This window comes from Homo sapiens, chromosome 9, assembly GCF_000001405.40.
Source record: "Homo sapiens chromosome 9, GRCh38.p14 Primary Assembly".
Lineage (NCBI taxonomy): Eukaryota > Metazoa > Chordata > Mammalia > Primates > Hominidae > Homo > Homo sapiens.
The window spans coordinates 41,508,045-41,534,410 of record NC_000009.12 but is presented as its reverse complement, the minus strand read 5'-3'; the positions used below and the strand labels follow the sequence as shown (position 1 = coordinate 41,534,410).

General features: G+C 35.2%; 1 long non-coding RNA gene across 5 annotated transcripts in view; it reads left to right on the top strand.

The window, feature by feature from the left end:
* LOC105376065 (uncharacterized) overlaps positions 1 to 26,366 on the top strand; it is an 82,523-nt gene that overhangs the window by 31,300 nt on the left and 24,857 nt on the right. For 2 of the 5 annotated variants that reach the window (XR_007061516.1, XR_007061515.1), the window contains exon 2: positions 22,028 to 22,210. This is a non-coding gene — a long non-coding RNA (uncharacterized LOC105376065). Of the gene's footprint in view, positions 1 to 1,253; positions 1,334 to 4,314; positions 6,113 to 10,537; positions 13,026 to 22,027; positions 22,211 to 26,366 lie in introns of those variants that run through there. The other 3 variants (XR_007061518.1, XR_007061517.1, XR_007061519.1) reach the window with 3 other exon arrangements.

Genomic DNA, 26,366 nt, shown 5'->3' with positions numbered 1-26,366 from the left:
TGTGTGTTGGCTACTTCTGATTGGTTGAACTTAAGTTCTGTTTTTCTTTAATATAGAAATTGATAAGAATAGCTCAAGTTTCCCTTATATCTGTAGATCAAACAAGGTTTAGATCACTTATGATGCCTAACTGGTTTTGTCTGCTCAGAAATTCTTCAGGCCTGGACTCCATTTTAATTTACTTTAATGATTGTTACTTTAAATTTGGATTAAACAGTGGATTCATATGTACTGAGTGAAAAAAAATGGAAATAGATGTTATAAAATTTATTTGAAATCATTCAGCCAGGATGTTTTAAACAGCATAAATTAGCAGAATTACCAAAAACACATTTTGAAAAAACCTTGAAGCAATTTTAATGTATTGCAAAATGTGAAGGAGACTAGTAGGACAAAAACTTAAAGGTTGAGTTTGAGATATGATGCAGGGTTTTTTGCTCCTTAGCCCAGCTAGGCCTAAGTTCTGAAGAAGTAGGCACATGGACACTCAAAGGGTAAGTGTAGTAGAATTTATTTAGTGAAAGGAAAGCTCTCAGCAAAGAGAGGGGTCCTGACATGAAGTTCTTGGTTGCCCCCTTAACAGTTGAATACAAGGGCATTTTTTTTTTCTTGAGACAGAGCCTCACTCTGTTGCCAAGGCTGGAGTGCAATGGCGTGATCTTGGCTCACTATACCCTCTGCCTTCCAGGTTCAAGTGATTCTCCTGCCTCAGCCTCCTGAATAGCTGGGATTATTGGCACATGTCACCAGGCCCGGATAATTTTTGTAGTTTTAGTAGAGATGGGATTTACCATGTTGGTCAGGCTGGTCTCCAACTCCTGCTCTAGTGATCTGCCCGCCTCTGCCTCCTGAAGTGTTTGGATTACAGGTGTGAGCTACTGCACCCGGCAACAAGGACATTTTTATACAAGCTGATAGGGCTGTGAATTCCTGGTTGTATGAGACATGAATTCCTGGTTGCTCCACTCCACCTTTCCAGTGAGTTAAGTGGGCCCTTAGTCTGTGCCTCTCCATATTGATTTATTTCCCTTAATGCACATATGTTAAGGAACGAAATTTTCCACTATGGGCATGTTTAGGCAAGCTCCCTTAGCAAGTACGCTTATCCGCACAAAATATTTGGTATAAACACCTGGGGGGTGGGTAAGAGGTTCTCCAGGGGACCCTTTCCTGACTGTCTCCCTAAAGCAAGTTGGCTGACTCCTTTCATTCCTCCCTTCAGGAGTGGAGACCCCAAATTCTGTTGGGGAAAGTGTACAACGACTGCTCTTAACTGCTTCCTGCTGACAAGGGGTGCTGTTTTGGGAAAGTGGCAGTTAAGGCTCCTCCTGAGGTCAGTTTAAGGGTCCCCAAAGAGAACGGTGTGTTCATGAGTGGTTCTGTTTGCATCACCATTTGATGTTGAACGGCCTTTAAGTGAGAAGAAACAATTTGGGTTATTAGAAGACATATTCAAAATGAAACAAAGGGATAAGGACAGCTCAAAACAAAACAAAACAAAACAAAATCTCAAGGCTGCCAATACAGCCAGATAACTCGTGGCTATAGTTATGCCTGCTAAGGTTTGTATTCATGGGGCTTGGCTTTGATTAGCTCCCTTGGTCTTATTTTCCCAAACAAAGAAATCTCTGGGTTATGGGCACCTATTTACTCCGATCACCTGGAAGGATTTGCAGGATAATTGTTCAGAATTAAAATATTGATCCAGATTTTTTATATTATTCATCCCTTTGGTTCTTTTGAGCTGCAGCCGTACATTGCTGGTTGGTCCACAGGAATAAGCAGGGTAGTCTAAAATGTAGGCAAAAACTTAAAAACAACTAATGGGATTATAATGTAATGACAAATGTAGAATACGTTTTGAAACATAATTTCTCTCTCTCCAGTCCTCATTTTTGTCAAAAACAAATCATGATAGGACTCAGTTGTTTGAAAAAATAAACTTTAGCCTTATACTTGTCTTATTTGCATAAAGTGCAAAAAGAATAATTATTTTTCCCATAGGCTTTTAAATTGGCTTTGATGGAACTCTGTTCCATAAGGCATCTCAGTTAAGACCTTTTAAGGCCAAGCCCAGCCAAGGGTTTCCACCCTCAAATATCTACAAGTTTGGTAAATCATTCTCTTCTTGATGTCCCAAGAACAAGCTTTTTAACAGGCCCAGGAGCTTTTTAACAGACTCCTAAGCCTGTTAAAAAGTGACATGCTTTACTCCCCATGGGTTAGGAACCTTGTACAAGGACTGTGTTGACAAGGTATATAGCCAGTTTTCCCAAGGAACTTTTATTGGCAAGTCCAGCTTAATGACTTAAAGGAACATATACCCTTCCAGTAAAAGCCTTGGTAAAACCACCAGTTTCTTCAATTGTGTCCTGTTGCAAAAGAAAATGTATTCTTATTGCACTGATGAAAATAACTGAATTGCCATAAATTAAATATTCTCACAAATAGTTTCCAAATTCTGGCAAAGCCAGGCAGAGAGAAACAAACATCCTTCAAATTTTGTTCACAGGTGTATAGTTTACTCAATTATTAAAGGCTTTAAATAGTTCAAAATAAGTATTCTTGACTCAGAAAAACAAAGCAAGGATCACCAAAGTTTTAAGCAAAAAGGTTAAAAATAATACTTGTTTTCTATTAGTTCAATCCATTCTGTTCTCTTATTCTGCTTGATATTCATGAACATTTCAGTTCTTTATGAGTACTGTATTTTTTTCAATGTCATAATCTCCAGAGCTAATGGAATCTTGCATTTGAGAACACTTGTCAAAATCCTGTAGCTGATTATAAATCATCTTTTGAGTAGGATCAAAAGAAGACATTTGTCTGTGAATGATGAAATGTCCAGGGTAGTTACTGTCAAGAATACAATTGACAAAGAAATTTAGTTATTTCTAGGGTTTACAATAACTAAACATAATAACCTTAATTATGATTGATAGCATATATTCAGACATTAGAATTTTAGAAATCTCATATAATTTTGAAACATATTAATATTATTCACTAAAATATAACCTAAAGCAGATTAAATATAACTTTGGAAATACCATATAACTAAACATTTCAAAAAACCCAGTTTTCTTCTGTTTTGGATGTTCCAGGGACCAGGAAAGACAATTTTGAAACTGAAGTTTGATTTTGGGAAGACTGTTAATTACGTTAGAGGCTCAAAGCACTTGATATTATAAAATAGAATTCCAAGTTACCATATGTCATTTATTTTAGCCAAAATGATGACTCAAACATTTTAAAACAACGCAAAAGCATATTCACAGGAAGAGGGAAAACTTAGCTTTCCAAACAATCTGTCGTTAATTTTACAGAGAAATGCTGTTCAAGTGAAAGCCTAATTTCATCCTTGCATTAGTCTACTGTTGATGTCAACCCCAATTTTTTTAATGAAAACTTATAGATAATTATATCTAATCTTATCTAGTTTGACCATGAGGTGAGATTTTTTTACACTTTTATAACCCTTTACAAATTGTTGTTAAAGAGCAGATCAGCGCCTTTAGAAAACCTTGTTGTGTTTTATTTCAATGCTCAATTTACAAAAACAAAATACTTTTTTGAAATTAGTCAATATGTTCACACAATTTCTTTTGCAAGATTAATTTTTACAAACTTTTCACCATTTGTTTAAACCTTCAGCTTTATCTTACCTAATTCAAAACAATCCTTTAACCCAAGGCAAAAATTTACATTTTCATGCATTCTTATAATCTTTTACTAAAAACATATTTTACTTTCCTTACTTACCTTATATGTAAATCTATTTTCATTGTCTCAATTACAGGTTATTATGGTAACTCCTAGCAATTTTTAACTTTAATGTAAAACCTGGCAAGTTGCTTTAATTATGTAGTAGGCATAAATAAAGTCTGATTCCTTCCTGCATAATTAAGGGTGTGGTTAATTCCATATGTCCCTGGACTTATTAATTGTGAAGCAGGCAAATTGAATAGTGTATTAGTCAATTTTCATGCTGCTGATAAAGGCAATCTTGAGACTGGGCAATTTACAAAAGAAAGAGGTTTAATTGGACTTACAGTTCCACGTGGCTGAGGAGGCCTCACAATCATAGCAGAAGGCAAGGGGGAGCAAGTGACATCTTATGTGGATGGTGGCAAACCAAAAAAGAGAGCTTGTGCAGAGAAACTCTCATTTTTAAAACCATCAGATCCATGAAACCCATTACTATCATGAGAACAGCATAAAAAGACCCACCCTCATGATTCAATCATCTCCCACTGGGTCCCTGCCACAACACATGGAAATTACGGGAGCTACAAGATGAGATTTGGGTGGGGACACAGAGCCAAACTTTATCAAATAATTCTTAAAAGCCAAAGAAGCAGTTAATAACTTTGAAGCATTTAGCTAACCTAGTATCTGACCTACATGATTCAGCCCACATATTTACATTTTAAAGACATTTGTATTTTACCAATTATTTTTAAAACAGCCTTTATTTCTTAAAGATTATAGTCATGTGAACTGAAAAGGTATTACAGCTTTTATTTTTCTTCAAAAAATATTTGATCTAAGTGCTTATTTTCCTAGAGCTTTTTTATATAAACATCACACCCATAAGAAATAGAAAATTACACAGATGAACAAAAGCAAATTCAGTACTTGTAAGATTTTTCATTTGCCAATCTTCTGAATAGATTATTGGCCTCTGGGTGAAGCCCTTCAAGAGCAGGGTCTAGGACAGCATACAGTTTCTAGGGCCTAATAAACAGGCATAGCTGGAAGACAGAGACAGATTTTGAGAAGGATCTATCCACTTTTAATTCCTGGGGTTTCGTGAGGAAAACAGAGGGTGTTTTTTCCCCAAAATGGGGTCTGCGGCACCTTCTTTGTTTTTTCCCAGGAGCCCCGGGCTATCAGAAGTTATCTTAGAGCCTCTCATGTATGCACTGAATGACAAGACAAAATGGGAAAAAAAAAATCATTCAACAGAGAAAGAACCTTTTTCCAGAAAAACAAGATCCATGCAGAGAAAAATTTAAAGGCCTTTAAATATACCTATAACTTGGATATCCACTTTTAATTCAGCTGTGCTCTAAGAAAATCGTTTCATATCTATTACCCAACTTTAGCCATGCCGAGCAGCCAATATTTCTGGCTTTTGAACTTTATTAAAAATAACCTCACAGGTGAAACCAACAAGCCTCAACTAAGGTTATGACTTAACTGTAAGTGTAAAAGTTATTTTCAAAGAGGTGCTAAGCAGTTTTTACAGAATCTAAGATCTTTAAAGTTGGTTCAGACAAAGGAAGATTTAAGAAAGGAAGCTAAAGTTGTTTATAGAGGGGAAGAGAATCAGCAAATGGTAGAAGTCACACAGATATTGGCCAAAATATACTCATTCCCTAAGCCGGGATTAAACCCGGGCCACCATTGTAAAATGGCAGAGGCCAAAAGAAAGTATTATCAAGTGGTTACAAGGTCAAGCTCCTAAGGACAAAAAACAAGATGAAGAACTGCAGCAAGGTTTGTTACTGACCAGTTTGCCAGGCTGGTTTGATCAGCAAACTTTTGGGGTCCTAGGCCTGCATTCTATCCTAAGGTACCCCTCTTTATGACAGAACTATACAGAAAGACACACAAAGCACACTACATTGGCTACAGCTTAAGGCTAGCCTCATAAATCCTTTTTTTCTATTTATCAGAACTTCAGAGAGTATATAAACAGTGATTTAAACAGGGATTTTATCATTTATTCAACTGGTTTGCACAGGGAGAAGGAGGCCAGAAGTCTGACTGGTAAGAACTATTTTTTTTTTTTTTTTTTTTTTTTTTTTGAGACAGAGTCTCCCTCTGTCCCCAGGCTGGAGTGCAGTGGTGTGATCTCGGCTCACTGCAAGCTCCATCTCCCAGGTTCACGCCATTCTCCTGCCTCAGCCTCCGGAGTAGCTGGGACTACAGGTGCCCGCTACCACGCCCGGCTAATTTTTTGTTGTTGTTGTCGTTGTTATTTTTAGTAGAGATGGGGTTTCACCGTGTCAGCCAGGATGGTCTCCATCTCCCGACCTCATGATCCGCCTGCCTTGGCCTCCCAAAATGCTGGGATTACAGGCGTGAGCCACTGCACCCGGCCCTGGTAAGAACTTTTACCCTTTTGCTGGTGTACCAGGCTTCTGAGTTGCCCTTTTTCATGCTCAGTTTTGAGCCAAGCAGTTTAAGGTTTGGAGAAATTAACTTTTCCCAGTTTAAGAGATGCATCCAAAGGGAGTGTCCTGTGGTACAGCGACACAATGACCCACCCACAAAGAGAGGACAGAGGAGGAAAAAGGAGAAAGGAGGTGTTTTTTCAGAAGAGTCCTAGTGATTCAGGAGGCAATCAAGAGAAATATGGGCTGCAGATGATTGGTTACTCACCTAAGAAGAGGGGAGCAAGGCATCCCTAGTTTCTTCTTTTTCCTAGTAAATACCTGAGGTACATGAGGGAGAGGAGAAAAGTGTCCTCTTTCTTTCTTCTGTTCTTATATCCCTGAGTCCTGGTGATCTTGGCAGGTTACCACCCATGGGTGCCAGTGCAGCTTTCACCTATGTTAACAGGGGGCTTACAGGGTGCGAGTTATCCACCATTACCCATGCGCTGCTTGTCCCACTGTTGTCGATAACTTTTGAGTTCTCTAGATTTCATACATGCCGTGGATACTAGAATGACCTCTATCCACGAGATGGAAGGGGGCCTAATCGGCAGCAATGAGTCATGCTAACCTAAAGCTTTGGAGCTGGGTCTTCCTTAAACAAGGGAGAGAAAAGGCTGTCTTGGGAATTGGGGTCCTGGCCTAATAAGAAAAAACAAAAACAAAAACCAACAAAAAACCTCTCATAAAAGTTAACTCCTTACAAAGTGGAGAAAAGAAAAAAAAATAAAATAAAACAGCTTAAGTGCAGGGTGGGGAAGATGCCTGGAGGAGAAACCTTTTATTCTTATGCAAATGAGTTCCTCCTATAGGGAGAGAACATTTTAATTGCTGTCTCCTCCTTTCTGGCTCAGCCAGGGGAGGAAAGACACTGTGGGTGCATGGGGAGAGGGAAGAGTGAGCAGGAAATGCTGGCCACCTAGCCAAGTGGGGCCCTTGGGCTATGTGCCCCAGACGGGAGGGGAGGGGGTTGGGAGTTGCCACTCTCCCATTTGTCTCACATGTGTACCTGTGGCCATTGGAGGTTGGGGTAAGGGACATGTCTCTAAAAACGGAGGGAGAGCACATTGTTCTGAATTGTATAGAATTTATTAAGTTAAAGGAAAGCTCTCAGCAAAGAGAGGAGTCCTGAAAGTAGGTTCCCGGTTGCCCTCTTCACAGGTGAATCAAAGGCATTTTTATATAAGCTGATGGGGCTGAGTTCCCTATTTGTATAAGGCGTGAATTCCTGTAGGCTCCACTGCATCCTTCCAGAGTGCATGCAGACCCTTAGTCTGAGACATTCCATATTGATTTATTTTTCTTACTGCCCACGTGTTAAGAAACAAAATTTTCCACTGCGGGCATGTTTAGGCAAGCCCCCGGAGCAAGTACCCTTATGTGCACAAAACATCTGGTATAAACACTTGTGGAGCAGATAGGAGGTTCTCTGGGGGACCCTTCCCTTAGTGTCTGCCTAAAGCAAGCTGGCTAACTTTTCAGAAAGAGACAGAGAAAATGAAGTAGCTACCAAAGTATTCTGGGTCTACAAGTGATATTATTTTCAACAAGTATTCAAATGCCATTCTAGTCTAAACTAATTCATTATAAATCAGCTAATATTAAGTAAATATTTTACAAATTAAAAACTAGTTACAAAAGGTAGAGACCTCAAAGAAAGGCAGAAATGAGGCAAATGGGGAAAAATTATGGTGACTTAAAGCCTATATATTGTGATCTGGAGAATTAGAATTTAATTTGTCTATACAAAGTAGGTCATGATCCTGATAAGTTTAGCAATTAGAGTATTTATAAAAAGTAAGAGCTAAATAATTTGTTTCAGGGATGCACTTTTATTTCAATTATCTAGACCTGAAATTATATTTTTTTGAGATCGTTCAGGAAGAAGAAATTACATGAGGAGAACTTTCTAATCAGTATGCTTAGTGTAAATATATCTGATGAGTTCATAAGTCTGTTTCATTTATTATTCTTCAGTATAGGTCTGTAGCATGACACAAACAATTCCTGATGACTTCAGCTACCTTTTTAAGGAAGGTAGACTTGCTCCATCCCCTATCTTCTATTTTGCATCTGAAAGAGGATCATACTCCTGTTTAAGTCAACTTTATTAATGTTTTTCAAAATATTTCTTCTCTTGCCAATATAAAATAATGAAATTGTAGTAAAATGGGGATTGTCTTCCTCAAGATGAGTAATTTTTCATGAACAATTTATTTAATTATTTCAATAATTATTCAAAAATGATTTCAAATTATTTCAACAATTTATCTTATGAACATTTATTTCATTATTTATTCACACCATCAAATAATATTTTACATTGAGTCCAAATTTTTTGCATTGCTGTTCATGTCAGGTTTATATTGGAATTAATTCTCTATGACCTCCTTTTTAAGCACTGCTAAATAGATAGTAATCTTTCTTTCTATAACAGTTGAGTTTAAATTGCTTTTCTTAATTTTCTCTGACAGAGAACATTATTTTTTATTGTTGTAAACAAGCTATATTCTACATATTTAATTATTTGGAATTTGATTTGTGTATATTTTTCAGTGGAAGCTAACTTCTTCCTAATGTCTCCATCTACATTTCATATTTATTCATCCATTCACATATTCAACAAAATTTGAGAATCTGTTTTTGGGCTTTTAATACTCATCTTATTCATTTTACTATTTATGTATTTATTTCTTTATTTATTTAGAAACTGGTTCTCACTTAGTTGCCCACGTTAGAGTGTAGTGATGCCATCATAGCTCATGGCAGCCTCAAACTCCTGGGCTCAAGTTTGTTAATTTTATTTTAAATGTCCACACAGTGTTCTCAGTCAGAAACAGATTTCTTAATAATGTGTGTTGGCTGCTCCTTTTCCCAGTTCTTATCTTTGGACAGTATAAAGAGATCCAGATCATCCTAGTGAGAGGCCAGACTCTCTGAAAGCAAGAAGTTAAGAACAATGGTTTTTTTCCTTGTCTTTGTTTTTATACTTATACTAGGACGGAAACGGCTGTTTTTCTGTCCTTCTAAGAGGATATCTTCTTTATTCCAAACTTTTGGAATGTTGTAAAATCTCTCCTGGAACCAAATAACCCTGTATCTCCAAGTTTTTATGACCTATAGCTGTCTCCAAATTCTGGAACATCATATCTTTTGACATATGAATACAAAAACCTAGTCTTCCTCTTACCCTAGTACTTAACCTAGGAACCTAGTAATCTAAGGATTTTAAAAATTTGACCCTCTTAGGGGAGTAAAAGAAGTTTTCCTATTGTTGCAAATCAGAGAAATTAACTGGACAAAGGGCTACAGATTTAATTCTCTCAGTGTGTGAAGAGTCTCAAGAAGCTAGTGCTTTGAGAGAATCCATGAGAAACCCAGGGACCTTTAATATCTCCTCATTATTATTTGCATAGCACACTACCAGGGGAGATGGAGAATTAAAATAATAATATATTTTTAATAACTTTAAGTTCTCTTAAATCATATGGTTTTTTAAGGATAAAAAAAATCCTGGATATCTATGGCTATACTTAGACATATGTAATATACATACATAACACAATAGCTTTTGGGGAACAAGTGGTTTTTGGTTACAGAGTGGTAAAGTCTGAGATTTTGGTGCCCTTGTCACCCAAGTAGTGTACATTGTACCCAATATGTAGTGTTTTATCCCTCACCCACCTCCTACTCTCCCCATTAGTGGTCTCCAATGTCCATTATACCACTCTGTATGCATACCCATGGCTTAGCTACCACTTAAAAGTGAGAATATATGATATTTGGTTTTCCATTCCTGAGTTACTTCACTTAGAATAATGGCCTCCAGCTCCAGTTGGAGTTGCTGCAAATGACATTATTTCATTCTTTTTAGGGCTGAGTAGTATGTCATGGTGTATGTTTACCACATTTCTTTATCCACTCATTGGTTGAGGAGCACTTAGGTTGGTTCTGTATCTTTGTAATTGTGAATTGTACTGCAATAAACATATACATGCAGATGTATTTTTGATACAATGACTTTTTTTAATTTGAGTAGTTAACCAGTAGTGGGATTGATGGACTGAATGCTAGATCTACTTTTAGTTATTTCAAAAATCTCCATAATGCTTTACATAAAGGAGGTACTAATTTACATTCCCACCAGCAATGTATAAGCATGCCCTTTTCACCACATTCATGCCAAAATCTGTTTCTTTGTTTTTTTTGACTTTTTAATAATGGCTATTATGCTGGGAAAAGATGGTATCTCACTGTGGTTTTAATTTGCATTTCTTTGATGATTAGTGACATTGAGAATTTTTTATATGTTTGTTGGTCATTTGTATATCTTCTTTTGAGAAATGTCTATTCATGTAATTTTTTTTCACTTTCTGTTGGGATTATTTTTTCTTGCTGATTTGTTTTCCTTGTTAATTCTAGATATTAATTATTTGCTAGATGCATACTTTGTAAACATTTTCTTCTATTCTCTGAGTTATCTGTTTACTGTGATGACTATTTCTTTTGCTGTGAAGGTTTTTAGTTTACTTATGTCCTTTTTATTTATTTTTGTTTTTGTTGCACTTACTTTTGGAGTCTTAGTCATAAAGTTTTGGCTTAGGTAAATATCCAGATGTGTTTTTCTTAGTTTTTTTCCAGAATTTTTATGGTTTTGGGTTTTATATTTAAGTCTGATCCATCTTCTAATTTTTGTAGATGGTGAGAAAGAGTGATCCAGTTTCATTCTTCTACATGTGGCTGTCTTGTTTTCCCTGCATCATTTATTGAATAGGGTGTCCTTTCCTATTTATGTTTTTGAATGCTTTGTGGAGGATCAGTTGGTTGTATACATTTGGCTTTATTTCTGGTTTCTCTATTCCTTTCCTTTGGTTTATTTATCTACCTTTATACCAGTACCATGCATGCTGTTTTGATTACTAAAACCTTGTATTATAACTTGAAGTCTCTTAAAACTATGCCTCCGGATTTGTTCTTTTTGCTCAGAGTTGCTTTTTTAATTCAAGCTTATTTCTGGTTTCATAAGAATTTAGAATTGCTTTCTCTAATTCTATGAAAAATGATGTCAGTATTTTGATAGGAAGTGCATTGAATCTGTAGATTGCTTTTAGCAGTAAGGTCATTTTCACAAATATGATTCTTCCTATCCATGAGCATGGGATGTATTTCCATTTGTTTATATCATCTCTAATTTATTTCAGCAGTTTTTGTAGCTCTCCTTATGGAGATCTTTCACTTATTTGGTTAAGTGTATTTCAATTTTTTTTCTGCTGCTATTGTAAAAGAAATTGAGTTCTTGATTTGATTCTCAGCTTGATCATTGTTGGTGCTATGCAGTAGTACTAATTTGTGTACATTCATTTTGTAACCTAAGATTTTATGAATTCATTCATCAAATAGAAGAGTCTTTTGGTGGAATTCTTAGGTTTATCTAAGTATATGCTTAAATCATCAGCAAACAGAGATAATTTGTCTTCCTCTTTTCCAGCTTGGATGCCCTTTATTTCTTCCTCTTGCTTGATTGCTCTGGGTAGGACTTCCAGTACTATGTTAAGTAGAAGTGGTGAAAATGGGCATCCTTAACTTGTTCTAGCCCTCAGTGGGAAGACTTTCAACTTTTCCCCATTCAATATGATGTTGGCCATGGGTTTGTCATATATAGCTTTTATTATTTTGAGATATGTTTATTCTATGTCTAGTTTGTTTAGGGTTTTTATCATAAAGCAATGCTGGATTTTACTGAATGTTTTTATGCATCTATTGAGATGATCATACGTATTTGGTTTTTAATTCTGTTTATAAAATACATCACATTTATTACCTTGCGTATGTTGAGTCATCCTTGCCTCCCTGGGATGAGACTCACTTGATTATAGTGAATTGTCTTTTTGATATGTTTTTGGATTTGATTTGCCAGTATCTGTTAAGAATTTTTGCGTATGTCTTTATCAGAGATGTTCATTTGTAGTTTTCTTTTTTTATGATATGCCTTTTTCTGGTTTTGGTATCAGGGTGATACTGGCTTCATAGAATGAGTTAAGGAGGATTCCCTTTTTCTCAGTCTTTTAGAGTAGTTTCAGTAGGCTTGGTACCAGTTCTTCTTTGAATGTCTGATAGAATTTGGCTGTGATCTGTCTGGGTTTTTTAGTCGGCATTTTTTTTTTCTTACTTATACAATCTCACTGCTTGTTATTGGTCTGTAAGGATACCTATTTCTTCCTGGTTTAAGCTGGTAGGGTTGTATGTTTCCCGGAATCTATCTATTTTCTTTACTTTTATTTTTATGTGCATAGAGGTTACATAGTAGTCTCAAATGATCTTTTATATTTCTGTGATATTGGTTAAAATGTTTCCATTTTCATTTCTAATTGAGCTAATTTAAACTTCTATCTTCTTAATTGTTCTAACTAATGTTCTAACTAATTGTTAGAACAATTGTTAATCGTTCTAATTGTTAGAACAATTGTTAATCGTTCTAACAATCTTAATTCTTCTAACTAATGATCTATTGTATTTCTATTTTCAAATAACCAAATTTTGTTTCATTAAACTTTTGTATTTTTATTTCAATTTCATTTAGTTCTGCTTTAATCTTTCTTTTCTTCTCCTGGCTTTAAGTTTGATTTGTTGTTTCTATAGTTTCTTGAGGTATGACATTATGTTGCGAATTTGTAATCTTTCAGACTTTTTTACGTAGGTGTTCAGTGCTAGAAACTTTCCTTTTAGCATTGCTTTTGCTATGTCCCAGAGGTTTTGATAACTTGTGTCACTATAATCATCCATTTAAAGAATTTTTTAATTTCTTTCTTCATTTCATTGTTAACCCAGTAATCATTAAGAAGCAGATTGTTCAATTTCCAGGTAATTGTATAGTTTTAAGGGTTCCTTTTGGAGCTCATTTCTAGTTTTATTTCACTGTGACCTGAGAAGGTACTTTATATAATTTTGACTTTTTAAAATTTATTGAGATTTGTTTTTGTGGCCTATCCTATGGTCTGTCTTGGAGGCTGTTCTATGTGTTGATGAGAAGAATGTGAATTCTGCGGTTTTTGGGTACAATGTTCTGTAAACATCTGTTAGGTCCATTTCTTCTGGACTGCAACTTAAGTCCAGTGTTTTTTTGTTTTTGTTGTTGTTGACTTCCTGCTTCAGTGATCTGTCTAGTGCTGTCAGTGGAGTGTTAGAGTTCCTCACTATTATTGTGTTGCTGTCTATTCCTTTTCTTAGGTCTAGTAGTAATTGTTTTATAAATGTAGGAGCTCCAGTGTTATGTGCATACTTATGTAGAATTATTATATTTTGTTGAATTAATTATTTAATTATTATGTAATGACTTTCTTTGGTTTTTTTTTTTACTATTGTTGCTTTAAAGTCTACTTTATCTGATATAACTACACCTGCTTGCTTTTGGTTTCCATTTGCATTGAATATCCTTCTCCACCCCCTTACCTTGAGTCTATGAGAATCTTTGTATGTTAGGTTCTGATGCAGCTCAACATTTTGTTTCAAGATTTAGCATTTCTTGTAGGACTGGTCTGATAGGGACAGATTCCCTCAGCATTTGCTTGTCTGAGGAAGACATTATTTCTCTTTCATTTATGAGACTCAGTTTTGCTGGATACAAAATTTTTGACTAATAGTTATTTTGTCTAAGGATATTAAAGATAAGCCTAAAGATACAGTGAACTTCTGGCCTGTAAGATTTCTGCTGAGAAGTCTGCTGTTAGTCTAATAGGTTTTCCTTTATAGGTTACTTGTTGCTTTTGTCTCACTGTTCTTAGAATTCATTTCTTCATGTTGACTTTAGATAGCTTGATTACTATATGGCTTTGTAATGTCAGTTTTGCAGTGAACCTCCCCAGAGCTCATTGAGTTTCTTGTATTTGGACATCTAAATATCTAGCAAGGCTAGCAAAGTTTTCTTCAATTATGCCCTCAAATAAGTATTCAAAAAGTTTTGCTGTTTCTTCTCCCTCAGGAACAGCAATTGCTATATTTGGCCATTTTACATAGTCACCTATTTCTAAGAGACTTTGCTTATTTCTTTGAATTATTTTTCTGGCATTTCAAAGATTTCATCTTGGTTGGGATCCATTGCTGGGGACTTAGTGTGTTCTTTTTGAGGTGTTATAGAACCCTATTTTGTCCTATTGCCAGAATTATTTTTCTGGTTTCTTCTCATTTGGATAGAGTATATCTTCTAATTACTTTTGAGACTATATCTTCTAATTATTTTTGAATTTATTTTTTGATTTGACTGTGATTTTTCACTTTTTTTTTTTTCACTTTGAGGATGTGACTTTAATGTTTATAGTTTATTGTAACCTAATTCAGCTCTGGGTGCTTTCAGGGGTGAAGACTGTATAAGTTCCCTGGTTATTTAAAATCTTTGTATGTTGGCTTTCTCAGATGCTAGTTGTGGTAACATTATGCTCAGTGTGTGTGTGGAGGTTCACTGTTTCCTGTGGGGTAGCAATGGCAGAGGTCTCATGAAGCTTATCTAGTTCCCAAGTGGTGTGCACGTTTTTGCCTTTTTTTTTCTCCCAGTGTTTTCTTTACCTGGTTGAATAATTCAGATTTCAGGCCAGTAGGGGAGGTGTCCCTGAGTGAAAACCAGCAGATTGGTAAATGCAATACCCAATGGTGGGAAGAAGCCCAAGCCTTGACCGAGGCATCTGTGGGAGCTCTTAGTGAAATGCACTGAGGTCTTTTCACGGGGAAGGGAGGGAGCCACTTCAGCTCCCTTGCCAGGCCCCCAGGAAAGCAGGTCACACTCCTAAATACAGTTCTAGCTATTCAGATTAGCAGGCCCTTTTTATTTGCAGGAATTCTCACGTTCCAAGTAGAGAGAGATTGTGATTCTATGCCTTATGCAAATCTGAATCTGGAGGGGACTCCTCCTCTGGGGACGCAGGTAACTTGAAGTGTTCCAGAAAGGCTATCTACAGGTCCACTCATGCTAAATTCCCATAAGAGAAGCACCAGCTGTGTCTGCAGTGGTGAATGAGGGGGGAAAGTCTTTTTCTTCAAGACCGTTCTGTAGATTTTCCCAAGTCCAGCACTGTACCTGTGCCTCTACTGAAAGAAACTTTCCACAGGTGGGAAGTTCTGGACTCAAGTCCTGCCATCTAGATTCTTTTTTCCATGGGGTGTGCCACTGATGTGCACTCCCCCTTATCCTAAGAGTAGGAGTCCCTGAGGGCCAGACTAGTATGAATGCTGCTACTTCTCTGGTTCTAGCCACCTAGTGGGACTGCCACACTCCAGGTTGGTGCTGGGGAATGTCTACAAGGGGTCCAGTGATGTGACCTGTTCTCAAGACTCCGTAATGAGTAGCAACAACAGCTCTCATGGGGGTGACAGGAGAATGACATAGACTCTGTGAGATTTCTTGATTATAAGTAGCCTTGGTGCATTGGCTTTTCTGTAATGCCACCTGTAGTAGTAATGAACTGGTCGCATGGACAGACTCAGGACCTCCTAGTTAGCCAAGGTTATATAGGCAAAGGTGATAGCTTAGGTCACACACAAGTTTTCTCTTTCCTGTGCACTGTTAGTGTGCCTGCAGATGCTGTAATGGATTGTGTCAGTAGGCCTCCAGCCACAAGGTGGCACTTGAAAAAGAGCACCAGCTGGTAGCAGTGGGATTTGTGCTTGCCTTATGTTACGCAGGGGAGGTAAGCTGATGACTCAGGCAATGGGCAGGGCCATTGAGCTCTCAAAATTTTCTATTCTTTGTGTTAAGCTACCAGGGCAGATGGAGGGGCAAAGCCAGCTGGGGGCTGAATCAGGCAAGTTCACATTCTAGCTCTCTTTTGTCTGCCATGTGTGGGCAAAAGCACTGTCCCCAGTGGGGATCAGATAGTGGTCCTCTGGCTGTAGGAGTAATGTTGCAGGGAGTACCACAGCTGCCTCTGCTGCAGAGAAGCATCTGTATGAGGATTAGGGAGCAGCAGGCAGCAGTTAGCCCCACTCAGCTCCCACACACTTGGCAAAGCAGGTCTTGCACCTGCAGTGTCCCACTCGCAGCAGCTTGGTTCCAAGCAGTCAACACTCAGAACTCAACACTGCCCAAGGCCATAAGACTTCCCAGAAGAGACTGCAACCATGGCTTCCAGGTCACGCCTCTCCTAGTTGGCCCATGAAGCAGGGGCACCCAGCTCTTGCACCTATGGCTGCAGCACATTTCCCATCTGCCCCATGGTTCTGACCAAGGGGGTTTGTCTCCACTCGAGATTATATCATGAATCTCAGTTGAGAGCTTCTCTCAACCTGTGACCACTGCCTGAGTTACCTGGCTGACTTCTGTGAGGTCCCCTGTGAGATAGGATCAGGGATGGCTTTCCTCTGTCCTGCTGGGCATGCACACTAAGCCCGTCCCCATGCTGCTACTTCTCATATATGCCCCACTGCTCACTAAATCAGCTCCAGCGCTGGGTGGGATTAAGGCCTTTCCCTGTGGCCTGGATTGCTTGGTTCCCCAGTAGGAGTATATGTCCTAGAGGCAGTTTATCCCTATCTGACATTCTAGGGACTTAAAGTTTTCCTCCTGGCTCATGATTTTAGACAGCAACCTGACACTTCTTTCAAAAAGTCTGTGCTTTCTTTCAGTTTTCCTGTTAATTTTCTGTGTTGCTTCTTGGAAAAAATTTACAGTGTGAATCTCCACACACAATTCTGTCTTTCCAAATAGGAGAGGCATGCTAACAATGACTCTAATCTGCCATTTTGAGAAAAAAAAATACTGGAGGTCTTTATTATTTTTTTAATACTATAGCCCATTCTGAGTTTTCATTACAACCTCCACTCTAGTATTGTATCTACTTTTCACAAACCCCTATCTTTGGTAGCTGGATTTAATTCATTAATTTTAAAATTTTGATAAAAATTATGACATAATTATATTATTATGTATTTTCATTTGATTATCTAGGTTTATGAAACTGACTAAACTAATAATTATTTGATAATATGATTATATTCTGCCAATTCATTCTACGTGTTCCTTGGATATGTTAATAAACAATAGAAACAAGTCCAACTAAAAGACATCACTTATTCTGACTCTTGTTTTGAAAAATAAAACCTGACAAATCAAATAAAAGTAAATGAATTATTATTCAGACATCCACTTATGGTTTGGGTATATATTTTGACAGTCCATGAGAAAAATTCCTCCAAGGGTCTTCACCTCCAGACATAAAATCACTTTGTTGCTTTTCTAAAAGCTATTTTTAAAAACACCAACATCTTTTTAAATTCTCCCATCTATAAGTTGGCAAAAATATCTGTTGAGGTTTGTAAGCAACATTAACATTTTAAATAATAAATGTAATATTTAGGGGCAATTTAATTTAGTGACTCAAGGCATCTAATATTTGGTATCAGTATACGAATATTAAGAAACATTTAGCCCTTTTATTTATAGTATTTTTTATAGTAAAACAATTTCTACTTTCTATTATGCTTCTTGTTCTGTGATAGTTTACTATTTCTGAAACTTTATTTTTTACAAAATTTCAAGTTGAGTCTAAAAAAATTATATTTTGTTGTTTTGAAAAATATGTAGCCTAAAACTGTACATGCTAACAGTTGAGTTTTATCAGTGTTATTTTTACTAAACCTAATCACTATAAAATAGCTATATCTTGTGTATGTTAAAAATGTGAAATAAGATGAGAATGTATTTGCTATTCTATTAATTAAATTATATGAATTAGTAGCAACTATTAAGATGCTTTGAATATTCCCTTAGGTGGATGAGAACATGTGAGCAAGTACTAGCACAGTGGTAGATGCTTTGTAAATTGCTCTTACTTTCCTAATGATTGACAGGCTAATAGCTAAATAACTAAGATAATATAAGCACTTTCTTAGAATTTAGAGATCCACTTAAAAGACAGGTTTTCATTAGGAATTTCTGTACTTTATTTCACATTTCCATAAAAAAATTCCTCATTGCAAGAACCACTGCACCTATTATATGAAAAAACTCAAGAGAAAACAATCAGGTGACCATTACCTCTAAAACATCTGATTTGATTCAGTTATCCTATAGGAATCAAGTATCAGGCTTTACAAGATCCTCTTTTTTCAATGTTGTTTTACTGCCTAAAACAATGTTTAAGATGACTAATTCACGTTTCTTTTTGTGACTTATTTTTACTTGATCTAATTTCTAAAGTGATCTTTATGAGGTGTCTTGCCTAAAAATTTGCCTATACTTATAAATGCATTTTCACTTACTACAATCTCATTTTTTACTGTACTGTAGATGTACAGTTAGTTGAATGCATACATAATACTTTTGAGAATATATGAGGTTTTACATAAGAAGAATCATATTGAAGTGGTTATCTAGCATATCTAAAGAGGAAACAACAGAGAAGCAAGCTGGAAACAATATGTAGACATCAGTAATTATTTTAATTTCACAAGACAAACATTTATCAATCCTGTATTCAAAACCTACATATATGCTACTTAGGATGCAGAAATAGCTATGTACATTCATTGCCACCAAGGCATTTATGATCCAATTGAAGGGCAAATACAAACACAATGAAGTTTCTTTGTGTAGCAATTACACAAATAAAACTTCATAAGCTTGCCAAGAAAAGCAAGAACGAAGAAAGGAAAGAAAGAAGGAAGAAAAACAAATGGCAAAACAGAGCAATATTTAAATGTGGTTATGATTCAGCCAACCATTACATTTAATGATAATGTGCCTGTTTGGGAAAGAAAATAGAAGAATTAACTGAATGCCAAGGGGAGGGGGAAGGAACAAATGAAAAAATCAAAACAAAATAAAACTGTGAAAGATAATTAATGGGAATAGAAAAAATTATGTACAAAAAGCATTTTATTTGGAGAGTAATTTAGATCTTTAGGAATATATTGGCTATATTCAAGTTCCTATACTTAAGTGCTATACAATAATAATTAAAGGTACCAGATTTAGTAAAGGGATTTTGCACCATGAACTTTTTTTTCCTGTAAAGATACAAATATATCTCCTTAGTAGAACAGATAACCTCACAGATTTATGACACTGTTATATATCAATCTATATTTATTTATTTAACCAAGCAATCTTAATGTTATTTTGCTAAATTGCTTCTAAATGTCCCAGTTTCTCAGATTCCCTTTGTGTCATTTAAAACATCTATTTGTTATTTATTAATTCAAGTTAATATCTTTAAAACCTATTCATTTTATATTTGTCTGAGAGCTATGATTTTAAGCTTCTAAAGATTATATTTTAATAGAAATCAGGGACTAGTTACCTTTAATCTGGGGGAGATACTACATATTTTAAAGCCTGAAGTCAATGTCTAGACAAAAGTTTCTGCTTAACATCAAAGGGTATGCAACATTGGCTGTGGCTCTCAAATATTAAGAAAGGAAAACACAACTGGGAATTTGTCACTAGCACTTTATTCTTTACTCAGGATTGAAGTAGAATTTTTTAACGCCAATATTTTTCAGAAACTTTAAACATTAGAAATAAAATAAAAACTAGCCCAATTCCAATATTCCCCATGGATTTCCTAGCAGAAGAAATGTGAAACTCTTATGGAGAAATAATCCAATATTGCAAACACAAGGATTTGCCACTACAGAAACTAACAAGTTAAATTGAAAACTATATTAAAAATAAATTCACAAACAAAAATTACAAAATACACAATGAAAAATAATATACATGCCAGGCGCGGTGGCTCACGCCCGTAATCCCAGCAATTTCGGAGGCTGAGGCGGGTGGATCACCTGAGGTCAGGAGTTCAAGACCAGCCAGGCCAACATGGCAAAACCCCGTCTCTACTAAAAATACAAAAAATTAGCCAGGCATGGTGGCAGGCGCCTATAATCCCAGATATTTGGGAGGCTGAAATAGGAGAATTGCTTGAACCTGGGAGGCGGAAGTTGCAGCAAGCTGATATTGCACCATTGCAACCCAGCTTGGGCAACAAAGTGAGACTCTGTCTCAAAAAAAAAAAAAAAAAACCAGCAATAAGAGTCAGCAGATGTAAAACAGCAGAATTAAAAGTATGTGTAAAAATAGATGAATAATTTGAAAAAAATTATAAAATTAATAATATCTAATGAACATACATAAACACTAAAGACATTTAAAAAGAAATGAAGAGCAGATTTGGCAAAGGATATCCAAAAATAAAAATATAGTAATTGAATTTAAAAACCTATGAGATATGGATGATTAAAATTAATATAATAAATATATATCACAGAGAAATAAAGTTATCAATATAGAGCAAGATGGACAAAAATTATTATTATATTAGATACTTTGGGTGCATTTAAGATGGTATTGAGGCAATATCTAAAGGTAATAACTGGAAATTTTCTGTAAGTCATTAAAGAAAAAAAATTTTCACATTCAGGAATTGGACAAGTTCTGAACAGATTTGATAAAAATAAATCCAAACTAGAAAGAACACTGATTTGGTGAATATTTTAAAAAGAAGCTAGTTCACTGAAAAACTAATACAATAATGCAATGGCATACCAAGTTCCAAATGCAAAATATACAGTGCAAGATAGAATACTATACACAGTGCTGAGACTTTTTGGGTCTACAGAATTTTAAGAAAGCACACTCATGGATTCATTGAACAACCTTTTTAAAGTAACAAAGAAAGAAAAAAGAAAACACTAAAAAAGACAAGTGTGAGAAGCAAGTGGCAACTGTAAACCTGTTAAATGTAAGGGTAAATCTAAATAAGCATTAATTATTTGAAAATGTGAGGCCAGGAGTCCAGTCCAACCTGGGTAACAAAGTGAGGCATGAGTTACAATTAAAATACTAGAAAAGTATTGACCATTTCAATTAAATGTTCCTTTCAAATCACTGATTATTTTCATGTTCCAAAATTTAAAGGTTAATTTTTTATTCTCATTTTATTGATCTATCAGTAGTCTCTTTTTCTTTAATTAAAAAACAAACAAACAAAAACACATAAACAAACAAACAAAAAAACCCAGCTTTTTTTCTTTGGCTTCCAGAACACGTCCTCTTGGCTTTCTTCTTATGTCTTTGTATGCTATTTCTTAGTCTTTGGAACACTTCTGTGTCCACCCCCACTCCCTTGATGAGTTCTCACAGAGCCATGGTTTACAATATTGTTTATGCTAAGAACTTGCAAATTTGTACCTCTACCTCTTACTTCTCTTCTAAATGCCAGGCTCTTACATCCAACTTCTTATGCTGTCTTCTTTTGAGAAGCTAATAAACATCTCAACTTTGAAATGCACATTCTCACCTACGACCATTTGTCTCAAAGCAAAAATCTTAGAGTCAATCCTACTTATTTTCTTTGTCAAGAATTGCACATCCCACCTTTCAGTGAGTCTTGCTGCTTGCTCTACATTCAGAATCTATCCAAAGTTAGTCACTCTCTTAGTCTCTCCCAGAAACAGATCCCAGTAAAAACATTCAATCAGAAGTAATTTGGGATGTAGAGAAAAACTGTATTCTTTTTCTTCCCTCAGCCTTTTGATGTGTTTATTTCAATGCTATTTTTACAATGTTTCTTACTGAATACATTAATTAAAATTGTAATCTGCCACTATTACTGTGTATCCTGCCTTGCTTTATTTTCTTCACAAAATATATAACTTTTCAACACCTGTCTATATTTTATTTCTTTTGTGTCATCCTATATCTGACTGTAATCTTTACAAAGGCAAGGATTTTTTTCTTTAATATCCTAAATGTAGATGTTTGTCTCTAGTAGATTCAATGGTGCCTCCCAAAATATGATAAATATGCACATATCTTTCCATATGCTAGCCCACAGAAACTGTAGATGTGACCTAATTTTTTTGTATATATTAATAAGGATCTTGAGATGACGTCATACTGGATGATCCTAGTGCACCCTAAATCCAATAAGTGTTCTTATGAAAGACAGAAGAGGAGAAGATACAGGAAATAGAAGAAGGCTACTTGAGGATGGAAGCAGAGCTTGGAGTTATGCAGCTACAAACCAAAGAATGCCTTGAGCCACCAGCAGCTGAAAGAGGTAAAGTAGGATCCACCCATAAACACTTGAGAAGGAAAGTGGGCCTATCTATACCTTGATTTCAGATTTCTGCCCTACAGAACTGTAAGAGAATATATTTCTTTTGCTTTAAATGTTTAGGTTTGTGGTAATTTGTTATAACAGATCCAGCAAACTCATATACTAGCACTGAGCAGATATTCAATAAGAATTGATTATGAATTATAGTCATTAAGATAGTGCGGCATTGACTCAGAGATGAACAATTTGTTCACTAGACTATAGCAGAAAATTCAAAAATTCATGGTAGACTTTCGATATTTTACATATGAATTGTCGTATCACCCAGAAAAATGAATAACTATTCATAAAATAGCAGTGATACATTTGATTAACATATAGAAAAATTGTAAATTGTATTCTATCATCACATTAACTTCAAATGTGAAAGACATCTTGTATCACTTTTAAAGAAAATATAAAATATATTTTATTTAGTAAAATTGAATTTGTAGAATGATGACTTTTTTTTTACTTTACTGCTTAATACTTGAGAAATTCTCCTCTTTGATGAGGCTATTAGAAAACAGGAACTCTAACAATTATATAGTGGGAAGATAAATTCATACAACGACTTTGGAAAGCTACTTGACAATGTAAGGATGAAAGTGCCCAAAGTTGTAAAATTTCCCTGCTCTATGTGTATCCTATGAAAATTCTAATATATATAAACAACAAAACAATAAATATTTATTGTAGCTTTGTTTTTAACATTTACAATGGTAAATATAAAAATGCCAATATTTCCTGATATGAAAATTGATAGCTTTATATTATATATATAATGAAATCCCATATAGAAATTAAACAAAAACAGATACCCAAGTATCAGCTGGAATGGTTCTCAAAAATATCATAGTGAGATTATAAAGCATGTGTTGAAATAATACAGAGAAAACAATAACATCTTATTTAAATTTGAAGATACAAACACTACTGTATGCTGTGTAAAATATTCTATACACAGACCTGTACTCAAAAATAGAGAAATATACAAGGGGATGCTAAACAATTTTAGCCTGTAGTTATCCCTTGTAGAATTTCTTATAATCTTGTTTCTGGTTATGTTGCTGTATCAATTATTTTTCAGTTTTGGGTATGTGTGAAATATTTCATAAAAGGAAGTTGGACGTTTTAATAATACATTGACTTTAAGAGGAGGAAGAATAGGTGATTGGGGTATTTTGTTATATACCAACACATGACTGAAATAATCATCTATTCTAATTCTGTTCAGTTCAGTGGAAAGTCTTTGAAGCTTTTTTAACAGAGTTGCAGTTTGTCATATCTTTGAGAACATTGTGTTAGATTAAGTGGAACAGGAATGCTTAGAGGGAAGGAGATTAAAATAATGTGTTGTATGGATATTTGAGGTGACATACAATAGAACTGGAAAATAAAGAAACTTCATGAAAAATAGTATAAAAAGAGACATAAATGACTTACCAATTGACTGCTGTGTTTGATAGATGGGAATTGTAGTCGTAACATTGGATGAAATAGGAAAGACAGACTAGTAGAGCTCTTTGGAGGCAAATTCTATAAGTTCTTTTTACATTTTGAGTGGAAGTTTTCACTTTTAAATGAAATGCATATGGATAAAAAATAAAGGTAAATATAGTTATTATGAAATTGTCAACATAAAATGAGAGTTGATGCATAAAAATGAATAGACTGGAAAAAGGGAACTTTTTAAATATAAAAAAATTGCCTCTTTTCTGACAGTATTCTTTCTTCTTAAACTTCATGAGTATTCCTGGACATTAAAGTGAAAAAAAACTATCATAAAACTATGACTCTATCATACTGTAACATTTCAGGGCCCACATTATTATACCTCCTCTCTCCATCTTGCATGACTGTTTAAAATGGTTCTGTTTGATACACTGACACTCAATTTCTTTTTATATGGAATGTAATTTGGGAGATTCTCTAAACAATCTGTATAATGGCAGACATGGAGTACAACTGAAATTAGAAATATTCTGTTGTAGTTTCCATTCTTTCTTAAAGGTTTTAACATTTTGTTATGAACATGACAAGCCTTATTTTTTTTTCCACACATAGAAGGAACACGATATAAATAGAACAAAACACTGTGAAATACTGCAAATGTAGAATAATTATTTGATCTCATGCACACACCTCGGTAATTTAAATTAAATTCTATAAGTAAATGACTAAATATTTTAAAATTAACTACTTTAAATTAAGATGTATTTAGAAATAATTTTAATGTTATTGAAATTTTTTTAAAAACCTATTGTAATATAAGAAATCATGATATAATGCAAATACTACATATTTTCAGAAAATTTGGTAATGAATATCATCTCCCAAAAAACCATCTTAGTCATCGCATAAAATTCTACAAATGATATCTGATTTTAATTTAGAGGAAAGTACATGAACTGAAAGTCCCAACTGAATAAATGCTTAAAAAAGGATGATTTAAAAAAATTTAAAGGTAACATTTATTAATTAAAATAATTCTGATAGAAAATCCTAACAATGTACATTATTGTCTAGATTTATAATTCCGTAAATTAAATATACATCCCCCTGCAAGTGGCAATACTTCAAAAATTAATTCTAGTTTACAATTTAGTATAAAATAATGTATTAGAAGTGTCCCTGAAAGATGGAGTTTAATGGAGAAAAATGAGGAATATTATGAGTATCAGGACATGGAGAAGAGTAAAAAGTCAATATTGTGGGACAAATTAAATGACATAAAAAAATCACCTTTTTTCATTTGATATAATGTAATGGTTATAAAATATCTCCTCAGAGTTCTTCAACTGTCATTTCATTGAGATGTGGGGACTGGGGTCTCTGACCTTGAATCTGGGAGGACTTTTAACTTCTTTGACTAAGAGAATACAAAAAAAAGCAATGCTGTGTAACTTTTGAGATCTGGCCTAAATCGACAATCTGACTTCTGCTCACTTTTTTTCAGAATCCTCCGTCTCAGGAGGGCCCCAGTATTGCCAGGCTGGGAGAAACCCAAACCATGAGGATAGACCACGAATAGGAGTTCTGGTTGACAATCCCAGTTCATTCCTAGCTTCAAATACACAAGGCCAAGTGCCAGATATGGGCATAAAAAGCAATTTTGGAAGTGGACACTCCAGTCCCAGCTGTCCTAGCCCTCAGCTATTTGAGTTGCATCCAGACATGTAAATCTTCCCAGCTGAGGCCTCATCATTGAGGTGCAGAAAAGGGGCATGCCCACTGTGCCTGTTTCTAAATTCCTGACCCACAGAACCTGTGAGCATAATACAAGTTTACTATTTTATACCAGTAAGTTTGGGGTATAGTATTATGCAACAATACAACCTGATATACAAAAAATCTCTTCTTTGTTACATAAACTCTATATAAACTGGCATATGCTTAGTTCTTAAACCTCTCTCCAATCTCCTTCTCTTTCCCCATACTCAAACTAATCTTTTTTTTTCTGCTCCTTCAACAAACCAGCACTTGTATTTACACATTAGATAAATTGCACCATTAACTTAAAAAACACAATTTCCAAGATTTTTACAAAACTGTGTCTTATAGTTTAAAGTATCTCAGCCTTTAAGTATCACTTGTTAGATAACATTTAGTTGCCAATCTTTTTATAATTGCTTTCTCTTACTCTACTCCGTAGCTTACAGTCCTTCCTGCCATATTTATCGTATTTGTATAACAGATCAAAATCTGTGGTTATCTATTTATTTACCTAATTTTCAGCTCTCTCCACTTATTATCATATAAGTTACAAACATTTCAGGTCATATCTTCGGTTTACCACACTATGCCAGTAGCTTAAATATCACATTACCCATACTAGCCACTCAAAAATATTTACTATGGAATTAATGGAACTCTAAATTTAATCTGGTCTCCAAACTAAATATATGGCATAAGTATCAATATAGGTTTCAGGTAGATAGGGTTTAGCTATAAGGAATACAGGGTGCAACTAAAAGCAGTTTTCACCGGCAAGATGTTTACTTACTTCTACAAAAGACAGGAGTACAAGCCAGGACAGGATAAGAAGAGCAGCCACACAGGGACGCTGAAGATTTGTTATACACATGCAGGGACATTAATAGCATTTCCTTAGAAA